Below are 13,866 nucleotides of genomic sequence, written 5' to 3'. Positions count from 1 at the left end.
AAAAAAAAAAAAAGTAAAGAAACAAGGCCGGCCCAGAGCAGCTTGAGCAGCCGCAGTCTGCACCCTCTCCCGCCCGCCCGCCCTCCACGGCACCCCCACCCGCCCCGGGGTCTCTTTCCCCCTTCCTCCTCCTCCTCCTCCACCCCACCTTCCTCCTCCGCCCGCCCGCGGGGCCCCCCCTCACCTTCCCGCCTGCCCCTATTGTTCCGCCCCCGGCCTCCCGCCCTTCCCCTTCCAGCCCATTCCCCTTTTCCCCTCAGTCGCCTCGCGCCAGCAGTTTTTGGCTTTCACCCCCCATCAGTGACCAAAGACTTGACCACTCAAAGTCCAGCTCCCCAGAACACTGCTCGACATGGAAACCAGTGTGATTGAAGGTGGATTAAATATCACTCTCACCATCCGACTACTTATGCATGGAAAGGAAGTTGGCAGTATCATCGGAAAGAAAGGAGAATCAGTTAAGAAGATGCGCGAGGAGAGTGGTGCACCTATCAACATCTCAGAAGGGAATTGTCCTGAGAGAATTATCACTTTTGCTGGACCTGCTAATGCCGTCTTCAAAGGCTTTGCTATGATCATTGACAAACTGGAAGAGGACATAAGCAGCTCTATGACCAGTAGCACAGCTGCCACTAGACCCCCAGTCACCCTGAGGCTGGTGGTCCCTGCTAGTCAGTGTGGCTCTCTCATTGGAAAAGGTGGTTGCAAGATCAAGGAAATACGAGAGAGTACAGGGGCTCAGGTCTAGATGGCAGGGGATATGCTACCCAACTCAACTGAGCAGGCCATCACTATTGCTGGCATCCCACAATCCATCATTGAGTGTGTCAAACAGATCTGTGTGGTCATGTTGGAGTCCCCCCCGAAGGGCGTGACCATCCCGTACCAGCTCAAGCCTTCCAGCTCTCCGGTCATCTTTGCAGGCGGTCAGGCCTATACCCTTCAAGGACAGTTTGCCATTCCACAGCCAGATTTGACCATGCTGCACCAGTTGGCAATGCAACAGTCTCATTTTCCCATGACGCATGGCAACACTGGATTCAGTGCAGGTTTGGATACATCTGCTCAGACTACTTCTCATGAACTTACCATTCCAAACGATTTGATTGGCTGCATAATCGGGCGTCAAGGCGCCAAAATAAATGAGATCCGTCAGATGTCTGGGGCACAGATCAAAATTGCGAACCCAGTGGAAGGATCTACTGATAGGCAGGTTACCATCACTGGATCTGCTGCCAGCATTAGCCTGGCTCAATATCTAATCAATGTCAGGCTTTCCTCGGAGACGGGTGGCATGGGGAGCAGCTAGAACAATGCAGATTTATCCACAATCCCTTTCTGCTGTTCACCACCACCCATGATCCATCTGTGTAGTTTCTGAACAGTCAGCGATTTCAGGTTTTAAATAGTTTGTAAATTTTCAGTTTCTACACACTTTATCATCCACTCGTGATTTTTTACTTAAAGTGTTTTAATTCCTTTCTCTGTTCAGCTGTTGGTGCTGAGATCCATATTTAGTTTTATAAGCTTCTACCTGGGATTTTTTTTTTTTTTTTTGGTGTTTTGTTTTGTTTTGTTTTGTTTTGGCTCATGAATTTTTCTGTCTGTCATGGAAATGTTAAGAATGGAATATTAATACATTTCAGTTTAGTACTGTAAAGTCAGGAATTTTTCAAAAAAATTTAAAAATGGACTGGAGCTTTTTCTTTGTGAATAGAAAAAAGAAAGAAAGAAAGAAAGAAAGAAAGAAAGAAAGAAAGAAAGAAAGAAAGAAAGAAACACGGCCGGGCATGGCAGCTCACATCCATAATCCCAGCACTTTGGGAGGCCGAGGCAGGTGGATCACAAAGTCAGGAGTTTGAGACCAGCCTGGCCAACATGGTGAAACTCCGTCTCTGCTTAAAAAAAAATACAAAAATTAGCCAGGCATGGTGGCATGTGCCTGTAATCCTAGCTACTTGGGAGGCTGAGGCAGGAGAATTGCTTGAACCCAGGAGGCAGAGGTTGCAGAGAGCCGAGATCGCGCCACTGCACTCCAGCCTGGGCAATGGAGCAAGACTGTCTCAAAAAAAAAAAGAAAGAAAGAAAAGAAACACAAGAATGGCCACTCCATAGGCAGAGTAGCTGTTGGTTGTCTATTTTTATGGTTATTTCTTGATCATATGCTAAACAAGGGATGGATTATTCATGAGTTTTCTGGGAAAGGGGCAGGCAATCTCTGGAACTGATGGTTCCTTCCCTTTTTAGACCATATAGGGTAACTTCCATACCTTGCCACGGCATTTGCAAATTGTCATGATGCTGGCAGGAGTATCTTTTAGCATGCTAATGCATTATAATTAGCATCTAATAAGCAGTGAGGATGATCAAAGGTCACTTTCATCACCATCTTGGTTTTGGAAGGTTTTGGCAGGTTTTGGCCAGCTTCTTTACCACATCCTGTTTTATCAGCGGGAGCTTTGTAACCTGTATCTTGTGCTAACCTCCTACCTCATTCTGTGACTAAGAGTGTCTAACCTCCTGGGAATGCAGCCCAGTAGGTGTCAGTCTCATTTTACCCAGACCCTATTCAGGATGGAGTCTCTCTGGATTGAACACTTTTGACAATTTCAAGTGTGAAAACTAATTAAAATTTACTAGAGTAGAAGTTCTAAAATACAGGCATTGACTTGTGAATAATCTGCTTTTCACTTGGACAGTGAAGTATGATTCTAGGGGAGAAGATAATGAGATTTATTCACTTAAATATGATTAATAATGCTCCTGAGTAATGTAAGACAAGCCAGTCAGAATCTGGTATTAGTAAGTACAGTCAGCTAATGCCAGCTCACCATCAAATCAAGTATCAATTAAATGTTTACTGTGTTGATATTTTGCTGTAGCCTAAGGGATACAAAAAATAGTAATACTGAGCTCTTATCCTAAAATATGCTATGATTTAGTGGAGAAAACAAGAAAGGTTTTGTACACATATTAGGAATTAACTATTTGTCAAAAAAGCATTAATCAATATAATTCAATATAAAGTTTGATCAATATTATACCAGAAGATCCTTGGGCAAATGGAACTGAGAGAGATTTACTCCTATTGAAGACACTGAAGAAAACTTCCTAAAGAACTGGGCCTTGGAATGTGGGGTGATTTTAACACGTACAGATGAGGGAGTCAAGCAGTCTCTGTAGGAGACAGGAAAATGTATGCCACTCACAGCCTACCCCTTATGTTATGGGCACACTCTCTTATACAGAATAGCATGAACAAAGACACCAAAATGAGAACAAGAAGAACAAGTTCCAGGAATGGCAATTCCAGTTGGAGTGCTTTGAGACATAATAAATTTGATAAAGCTTGAATGATTACAGACAAATGGTAGTGGACTATGAATTTAAGAATAAGAGGTTTGGCCTCTGCAGTAAAGATGCTTATATAAATACAAATAATTAAGAAGAAATTGAGGAAAGAAAACAAATTGGCTGAGTTCCTAGCCAACCTGACTGCATTAAAATTCTCAAGACTTTATGAATCCCCTTATTCCTATAAATCCTGTACTATAATCAAATGACAAGTTCTTAAAAATAGATTTCTAAATGCCTTTCTGGCTTTTTGTAAAGCAGCAAAGAATATTGTGGAAAGAACACAGGTTTAGGGCCAGTAAGACCTATGTCCCAGGTCTCTCACTCTACCATACACCTATACGTCACAGCATTATTAAGAATTAAATAGGCCAGGCGCGGTGGCTCACGCCTGTAATCCCAGCACTTTGGGAGGCTCAGGCTGGCAGAAAATGAGGTCAGGAGATCGAGACCATCCTGGCCAACATGGTGAAACCTCATCTCTACTAAAAATACAAAAATTAGCTGGGCATGGTGGCACGCACTTGTAATCCCAGCTACTTGGGAGGCTGAGGCAGGATAATCACTTGAACCCGGGAGGCAGAGGTTGCAGTGAGCCAAGATTGTGCCACCGCACTCCAGCCTGCTGACAGAGCTCCGTCTCTTTTTTTTTTTTCCTTTTTCTTTTTTTTTTTGAGAGGGAGTTTTGCTCTTGTTGCCCAGGCTGGAATGCAGCTCACCACAACCTCCGCCTCCCCGGTTCATGCCATTCTCCTGCCTCAGCCTCCGAGTAGCTGGGATTACAGGCATGTGCAACCACGCCCGGCTAATTTTGTATTTTTAGTGGAAACGGGGTTTCTCCATGTTGGTCAGCTAGTCTCGAACTCCTGACCTCAAGTGATCCGCCCACCTCGGCCTCTCAAAGTGCTGGGATTACAGGTGTGAGCCACCATGCCCACCTGAAACTCCATCTCAAAAAAAAAAAAGAAAAGAAATAAAACAGAGCTTTCAGGGAGGAGCCAAGATGGCCGAATAGGAACAGCTCCAGTCTACAGCTCCCAGCGTGAGTGACGCAGAAGAAGGGTGATTTCTGCATTTCCAACTGAGGTACCAGGTTCATCTCACTAGGGAGTGCCAGACAGTGGGCGAAGGTCAGTGGCTGTGCACACCGTGCACCAGCCGAAGCACGGCGAGGCATTGCCTCACTTGGGAAGCGCAAGGGGTCAGGGAGTTCCCTTTCCGAGTCAAAGAAAGGGGTGACAGACGGCACCTGGAAAATCGGGTCACTCCCACCCGAATACTGCGCTTTTCCGACGGGCTTAAAAAACGGCGCACCACGAGAGTATATCACGCACCTGGCTCGGAGGGTCCTACGCCCACGGAATCTCGCTGATTGCTAGCACAGCAGTCTGAGATCAAACTGCAAGGCGGCAGCGAGGCGGGGGGAGGGGCGCCCGCCATTGCCCAGGCTTGATTAGGTAAACAAAGCAGCCGGAAAGCTCCAACTGGGTGGAGCCCACCACAGCTCAAGGAGGCCTGCCTGCCTCTGTAGGCTCCACCTCTGGGGGCAGGGCACAGACAAACAAAAAGACAGCAGTAACCTCTGCAGACTTAAATGTCCCTGTCTGGACAGCTTTGAAGAGAGCAGTGGTTCTCCCAGCATGCAGCTGGAGATCTGAGAACGGGCAGACTGCCTCCTCAAGTGAGTCCCTCACCCCTCACCCCCGAGCAGCCTAACTGGGAGGCACCCCCCAGCAGGGGCACACTGACACCTCACACAGCAGGGTATTCCAACAGACCTGCAGCTGAGGGTCCTGTCTGTTAGAAGGAAAACTAACAAACAGAAAGGACATCCACACCAAAAACCCATCTGTACATCACCATCATCAAAGACCAAAAGTAGATAAAACCACAAAGATGGGGAAAAAACAGAACAGAAAAACTGGAAACTAAAAAGCAGAGCGCCTCTCCTCCTCCAAAGGAACGCAGTTCCTCACCAGCAATGGAACAAAGCTGGATGGAGAATGACTTTGACGACCTGAGAGAAGGCTTCAGACGATCAAATTACTCTGAGCTATGGGAGGACATTCAAACCAAAGGCAAAGAAGTTGAAAACTTTGAAAAAAATTTAGAAGAATGTATAACTAGAATAACCAATACAGAGAAGTGCTTAAAGGAGCTGATGGAGCTGAAAACCAAGGCTCGAGAACTACGTGAAGAATGCAGAAGCCTCAGGAGCCGATGCGATCAACTGGAAGAAAGGGTATCAGCAGTGGAAGATGAAATGAATGAAATGAAGCGAGAAGGGAAGTTTAGAGAAAAAAGAATAAAAAGAAATGAGCAAAGCCTCCAAGAAATATGGGACTATGTGAAAAGACCAAATCTACGTCTGATTGGTGTACCTGAAAGTGATGGGGAGAATGGAACCAAGTTGGAAAACACTCTGCAGGATATTATCCAGGAGAACTTCTCCAATCTAGCAAGGCAGGCCAACGTTCAGATTCAGGAAATACACAGAACGCCACAAAGATACTCCTCGAGAAGAGCAACTCCAAGACACATAATTGTCAGATTCACCAAAGTTGAAATGAAGGAAAAAATGTTAAGGGCAGCCAGAGAGAAAGGTCGGGTTACCCTCAAAGGGAAGCCCATCAGACTAACAGCGGATATCTTGGCAGAAACCCTACAAGCCAGAAGAGAGTGGGGGCCAATATTCAACATTCTTAAAGAAAAGAATTTTCAACCCAGAATTTCATATCCAGCCAAACTAAGCTTCATAAGTGTAGGAAAAATAAAATCCTTTACAGACAAGCAAATGCTGAGAGATTTTGTCACCACCAGGCCTGCCCTAAAAGAGCTCCTGAAGGAAGCACTGAACATGGAAAGGAACAACCGATACCAGCCGCTGCAAAATCATGCCAAAATGTAAAGACCATCAAGACTAGGAAGAAACTGCATCAACTAACGAGCAAAATAACCAGCTAACATCATAATGACAGGATCAAATTCACACATAACAATATTAACTTTAAATGTAAATGTACTAAATGCTCCAATTAAAAGATACAGACTGGCAAATTGGATAAAGAGTCAAGACCCATCAGTGTGCTGTATTCAGGAAACCCATCTCACGTGCAGAGACACACATAGACTCAAAATAAAAGGATGGAGGAAGATCTACCAAGCAAATGGAAAACAAAAAAAGGCAGGGGTTGCAATCCTAGTCTCTGATGAAACAGACTTTAAACCAACAAAGATCAAAAGAGACAAAGAAGGCCATTACATAATGGTAAAGGGATCAATTCAACAAGAAGAGCTAACTATCCTAAATATATATGCACCCAATACAGGAGCACCAAGATTCATAAAGCAAGTCCTGAGTGACCTACAAAGAGACTTAGACTCCCACACATTAATAATGGGAGACTTTAACACCCCACTGTCAACATTAGACAGATCAACGAGACAGAAAGTCAACAAGGATACCCAGGAATTGAACTCAGCTCTGCACCAAGCAGACCTAATAGACATCTACAGAACTCTCCACACCAAATCAACAGAATATACATTTTTTTCAGCACCACACCACACCTATTCCAAAATTGACCACATAGTTGGAAGTAAAGCTCTCCTCAGCAAATGTAAAAGAACAGAAATTATAACAAACTGTCTCTCAGACCACAGTGCAATCAAACTAGAACTCAGGATTAAGAATCTCACTCAAAACCGCTCAACTACATGGAAACTGAACAACCTGCTCCTGAATGACTACTGGGTACATAACGAAATGAAGGCAGAAATAAAGATGTTCTTTGAAACCAATGAGAACAAAGACACAACATACCAGAATCTCTGGGACACATTCGAAGCAGTGTGTAGAGGGAAATTTATAGCACTAAATGCCCATAAGAGAAAGCAGGAAAGATCCAAAATTGACACTCTAACATCACAATTAAAAGAACTAGAAAAGCAAGAGCAAACACATTCAAAAGCTAGCAGAAGGCAAGAAATAACTAAAATCAGAGCAGAACTGAAGGAAATAGAGACACAAAAAACCCTTCAAAAAATTAATGAATCCAGGAGCTGGTTTTTTGAAAGGATCAACAAAATTGATAGACCGCTAGCAAGACTAATAAAGAAAAAAAGAGAGAAGAATCAAATAGACGCAATAAAAAATGATAAGGGGGATATCACCACCGGTCCCATAGAAATACAAACTACCATCAGAGAATACTACAAACACCTCTATGGAAATAAACTAGAAAATCTAGAAGAAATGGATAAATTCCTCAACACATACACTCTCCCAAGACTAAACCAGGAAGAAATTGAATCTCTGAATAGACCAATAACAGGATCTGAAATTGTGGCAATAATCAATAGCTTACCAACAAAAAAGAGTCCAGGACCAGATGGATTCACAGCCGAATTCTACCAGAGGTACAAGGAGGAACTGGTACTATTCCTTCTGAAACTATTCCAATCAATAGAAAAAGAGGGAATCCTCCCTAACTCATTTTATGAGGCCAGCATCATTCTGATACCAAAGCCAGGCAGAGTCACAACAAAAAAAGAGAATTTTAGACCAATATCCTTGATGAACATTGATGCAAAAATCCTCAATAAAATACTGGCAAAACGAGTCCAGCAGCACATCAAAAAGCTTATTCACCATGATCAAGTGGGCTTCATCCCTGGGATGCAAGGCTGGTTCAATATATGCAAATCAATAAATGTAATCCAGCATATAAACAGAGCCAAAGACAAAAACCACATGATTATCTCAATTGATGCAGAAAAAGCCTTTGACAAAATTCAACAACACTTCATGCTAAAAACTCTCAATAAATTAGGTATTGATGGGACGTATTTCAAAATAATAAGAGCTATCTATGACAAACCCACAGCCAATATCATACTGAATGGGCAAAAACTGGAAGCATTCCCTTTGAAAACTGGCACAAGACAGGGATGCCCTCTCTCACCGCTCCTATTCAACATAGTGTTGGAAGTTCTGGCCAGGGCAATTAGGCAGGAGAAGGAAATAAAGGGTATTCAATTAGGAAAAGAGGAAGTCAAATTGTCCCTGTTTGCAGATGACATGATTGTATATCTAGAAAACCCCATTGTCTCAGCCCAAAATCTCCTTAAGCTGATAAGCAACTTCAGCAAAGTCTCAGGATACAAAATCAATATACAAAAATCACAAGCATTATTATACACCAACAACAAACAGAGAGCCAAATCATGAGTGAACTCCCATTCACAATTGCTTCAAAGAGAATAAAATACCTAGGAATCCAACTTACAAGGGATGCGAAGGACCTCTTCAAGGAGAACTACAAACCACTGCTCAATGAAATAAAAGAGGATACAAACAAATGGAAGAACATTCCATGCTCACGGGTAGGAAGAATCAATATCGTGAAAATGGCCATATTGCCCAAGGTAATTTATAGATTCAGTGCCATCCCCATCAAGCTACCAATGCCTTTCTTCACAGAATTGGAAAAAACTACTTTAAAGTTCATATGGAACCAAAAAAGAGCCCGCATCGCCAAGTCAATCCCAAGCCAAAAGAACAAAGCTGGAGGCATCACACTACCTGACTTCAAACTATACTATAAGGCTACAGTAACCAAAACAGCATGGTACTGGTACCAAAACAGAGATATAGATCAATGGAACAGAACAGAGCCCTCAGAAATAACGCCGCTTATCTACAACTATCTGATCTTTGACAAACCTGAGAAAAACAAGCAATGGGGAAAGGATTCCCTATTTAATAAATGGTGCTGGGAAAACTGGCTAGCCATATGTAGAAAGCTGAAACTGGATCCCTTCCTTACACCTTATACAAAAATCAATTCAAGATGGATTAAAGACTTAAACGTTAGACCTAAAACCATAAAAACCCTAGAAGAAAACCTAGGCATTACCATTCAGGACATAGGCATGGGCAAGGACTTCATGTCTAAAACACCAAAAGCAATGGCAACAAAAGACAAAATTGACAAATGGGATCTCATTAAACTAAAGAGCTTCTGCACAGCAAAAGAAACTACCATCAGAGTGAACAGGCAACATACAAAATGGGAGAAAATTTTCACAACCTACTTATCTGACAAAGGGCTAATATCCAGAATCTACAATGAACTCAAACAAATTTACAAGAAAAAAACAACCCCATCAAAAAGTGGGCAAAGGACATGAACAGACACTTCTCAAAAGAAGACATTTATGCAGCCAAAAAACACATGAAAAAATGCTCACCATAACTGGCCATCAGAGAAATGCAAATCAAAACCACAGTGAGATACCATCTCACACCAGTTAGAATGGCAATCATTAAAAAGTCAGGAAACAACAGGTGCTGGAGAGGATGTGGAGAAATAGGAACACTTTTCCACTGTTAGTGGGACTGTAAACTAGTTCAACTATTGTGGAAGTCAGTGTGGCGATTCCTCAGGGATCTAGAACTGGTAATACCATTTGACCCAGCCATCCCATTACTGGGTATATACCCAAAGGACTATAAATCATGCTGCTATAAAGACACATGCACACGTATGTTTATTGCGGCATTATTCACAATAGCAAAGACTTGGAACCAACCCAAATGTCCAACAATGATAGACTGGATTAAGAAAATGTGGCATATATACACCATGGAATACTATGTAGCCATAAAAAATGATGAGTTCAGGTCCTTTGTAGGGACATGGATGAAATTGGAAATCTTCATTCTCAGTAAACTATCGCAAGAACAAAAAACCAAACACCGCATATTCTCACTCATAGGTGGGAATTGAACAATGAGAACACATGTACACAGGAAGGGGAACATCACACTCTGGGGACTGTTGTGGGGTGGGGGTAGGCGGGAGGGATAGCATTGGGAGATATACCTAATGCTAGATGATGAGTTAGTGGGTGCAGTGCACCAGCATGGCACATGTATACATATGTAACTAACCTGCACAATGTGCACATGTACCCTAAAACTTAAAGTATAAAAAAAAAAGAAATAAAACAATATAAATAAGGAGCTTATCATACAATAGTCACTTGGTAAACTTTTCTTCTCTAACCCCCTACCTAATTTTTTTCTGTTAATTCTTCATTCTTTCTATCTTATATCCTTAAAGTACATCATACATAACTTAAAATGTTATAACTTAAGTGATTAAATATGTGTTGATTAATCATTTTTATTTTCAGTTTTCTAGACTCTCATTTCAATCCAAGAGGAAGTAACAGGAATCAGATTTACCTTCCAATCTGAATCAATCAAAAACACCAAACAAAATATATGAAACAATGGTTTTCAAGACACTAGATACCAGGCAATGAAGTCTAGTGATCCCTGATTCCTGAGAGACAGGAAACAAACAAAAGGAGCACTCTAACTGCCGGGCTTACTCCCTTCAGAATGTTTCCAGGCTAAGATGTAGCATAGGGGAAGCCAGGCGAAGTCAGCAGACTCTCTGAGTTGAAGACACAGAGCTGAGTCTTTGCGGAAATCCAACCGGCTATAGAGTTCACAGAATTGATCACTGGAGAGGCAAGAGTTGCACAGAGAAAGAACCCTGGACATCTGAGAGTCCTTCCTCCTTGAGTATTTAGCAGAGCACTGAAGAACATGTGCATATGAAGGAGGTCTCCAAGGCTAGGGAATTATCTAAAAGCATTAGAGGGACCCCTAGAGATGTTGATACAGGGCTGGGAATAGTACCTGTTCCCTCTAGCCAGATGGGAAAAAAAAATTCATATAGCATGGAACATTGCCTAGAGTATTCAGAAGATTCTTGTCTCCCTAGTAGATAACAATTAGCCCAAGTCTAAATGTTGCTCTGGCCCTTGTTAACAAATCTTAAAAGCAAGAGTCAAAAGGTTCAAAATTTTTTTAAGCAGCTTAACTACATCTCAGAACAAAGCTCAAGATATTTGTAAGAATACAACAAATATCCAACACTCAAAAGTATAACATTCCCAGTGTCTGGAGTAAAGCCAAAGATTATCAGGCATGCAAAGGAAAAAGAAAATATGACCCATAATGAGAAAAATAAATCGATCTAAACCAATCCAGAACCAACACAAATGTTAGAATTAGTAGACAAAGACCATAAAACAATTATTTTCAGTTTTCTAGGTTTCTTTACTTCTTTGTTTTAACAAGGCAGTACCTCATGTCATACAGGTTTAACAGTAAGACATTTACCACAATGTGGTAATGCAACAAAGTAACAGATTTTCAAATCACAGAAAAACCACATATTTTTAAAGTTTTGAATAAAGTTGCTCTTCTGACAATTACTATCCATATTAAATTTTGTTTCATACTGACTAAAAAGTTGGTCTAAAGTCTTAATTTTTTCTGGAATTGGTGACAGTTCTCATCTAGCAATTGTCATCCCTTCTTGTCTCTATGATGTTATTCATTGCTCTAGTACTTTTGTTCAGAAATCCTTGTTTGGAGTATCGCTTTACTTCTCAAGTTAAATGAAGCTTTTAAAAAATTGCTTCTGTTTATTATATGGCCTGTCTTACTAACCTCATAGGACAATTTGTTATTACTTAGTTGTCTAACTGGCAGAGTGATATAAAGATGTAACAATCTCATGCCTGGGGACAGGGGTTCAAATTCCAGCTCTGTGAAACACAAGTTCCATTCTCAGAGCACTTAACCCAACTACAGTTTCCAGAGAATCACTTTTGGAACTTTATACAACATGTGGATAACTAGGTTCCATTCCAAATGCATTGAATCAGAATCTTTGGAGATAGGGCCTGACCATCACAGCTTTTGTAAAATTCCAAAGTGATGTGTAGTCCAGGTTAAGAACCACTGAGTGCTAACTTCTGTAGTTCTCAATGCAGGCTAGTAAGAATGATAATACATTATTTATTTATCTCATAGGTTTGGTCTAAGCACCAAAAGAGAAAATATATGACAATATATATACCTCAAAACATTTAAAAGATTTTCTCGTGTCTAGTCCAAAAAAAAAAAAAAACCACTATGTTAAGTGAAATAAGCCAGGCACGGAAAGACAAATATCACATGTTCTCACTCATATGAGGGAGCTGAAAAAAAATTTTAAATCATGGAGAAGTAATAGAATGATGGTTACCAGAGGCTGGAAGGGGTAGTGAAGATGGTTACTGGGTACAAAAATACAGTTGGATACAATGAATAAGAACTCGTATTTGGTAGCACAATAGGGTAACTATAGTTAACAATAATTTGTGGTATATTTTAAAGTAGCTAAAAGAATGGAATTCAAATGTTCTTAGCACAAAGAAATGATAAATGCTTAAAGTGATGGATATTCCAATTACCCTGATTTGATCATTACACATTGTATGCTTGTATCAAAATATCACATGTACCCCATAAATATATGCAACTATTGTGTGCCCATAACAATTATAAATTTTTTTAAAAGCTTAAAGACTTCTGGAAATACATAAATCCTCTTTTTGGTAAAGGAATATAAATATTATTTATATATAATATATGTAATATTTATATATATAATATATAATATATGTAATATTTATATATATAATATATAATATATGTAATATTTATATATATAATATATAATATATGTAATATTTATATATATAATATATAATATATGTAATATTTATATATATAATATATAATATATGTAATATTTATATATATAATATATAATATATGTAATATTTATATATATAATATATAATATATGTAATATTTATATATATAATATATAATATATGTAATATTTATATATATAATATATAATATATGTAATATTTATATATATAATATATAATATATGTAATATTTATATATATAATATATAATATATGTAATATTTATATATATAATATATAATATATGTAATATTTATATATATAATATATAATATATGTAATATTTATATATATAATATATAAATATTCCTCCTATTTCCTAGAAACATTGAAGTATGACCAAACCAATGATTCTTTTTATTTCCCTTCAACTTTTATTTTAAGTTCAGGGGTACACATGCAGGATGTGCATGTTTGTGACATAGGTAAACGTGTTCCATGGTGGTTTGCTGCACTGTTTGACTCATCACCTAGGTATTAAGCTCAGCATCCATTAGCTGTTCTTCCTGATGCTCTCCCTCCCCTCCACCCCTGACAGGCCCTAGCTTGTGTTGTTTTTTGCCATGCGTCCATGTGTTCTCATCATTCGGTTCCCACTTATAAGTGAGAACATGTGGTGTTTGGTTTTCTGTTTCTGCGTTAGTCTGCTGAGGATAATGGCTTCCAACTCTATCCATGTCCCTGCAAAGGACATGATCTCATTCCTTTTCATGGCTGCATAGTGTTCCATGGTGTATATGTACTACATTTTCTTCATCCAGTCTATCATTGATGGGTATTAAGGTTGATTCCATGTCTTTGCTATTGTGAATAGTGCTGCAATGAACATACGCATGCATGTATCTTTATAATAGAATGACTTATATTCCTTTGGATATATACCTA

At 40.0% G+C, this 13,866-nt stretch overlaps 1 long non-coding RNA gene and 1 pseudogene across 2 annotated transcripts in view, besides 1 other annotated feature; one reads left to right on the top strand and one right to left on the bottom strand.

The window, feature by feature from the left end:
- MIR2052HG (MIR2052 host gene) overlaps positions 1-4,840 on the bottom strand; it is a 158,596-nt gene extending 153,756 nt beyond the window's left edge. The window contains exon 1 of one of the 2 annotated variants that reach the window (NR_197229.1): positions 4,689-4,840. This is a non-coding gene — a long non-coding RNA (MIR2052 host gene). The remainder of the gene's footprint in view (positions 1-4,688) is intronic. The other variant, NR_033830.1, reaches the window with a different exon arrangement.
- PCBP2P2 (PCBP2 pseudogene 2) lies at positions 37-1,720 on the top strand (annotated as a pseudogene).
- Positions 1,914-3,113: an enhancer, noted in NCBI's record as "CDK7 strongly-dependent group 2 enhancer chr8:75513719-75514918 (GRCh37/hg19 assembly coordinates)". NCBI's record gives its function as "activates an origin of replication core promoter dependent on BRD2, BRD4, P300/CBP, MED14 and CDK7 cofactors, with strong dependence on CDK7, by STARR-seq in HCT116 cells {active_cell/tissue: HCT116}" and the evidence as "EXISTENCE:reporter gene assay evidence [ECO:0000049][PMID:35650434]".
- Positions 4,841-13,866: the final 9,026 nt, after the last annotated feature.

This window comes from Homo sapiens, chromosome 8 (genome assembly GCF_000001405.40).
Source record: "Homo sapiens chromosome 8, GRCh38.p14 Primary Assembly".
NCBI lineage: Eukaryota > Metazoa > Chordata > Mammalia > Primates > Hominidae > Homo > Homo sapiens.
The sequence above is the reverse complement of the archived record's forward strand: the minus strand, read 5'-3'. Positions and strand labels throughout refer to the sequence as shown.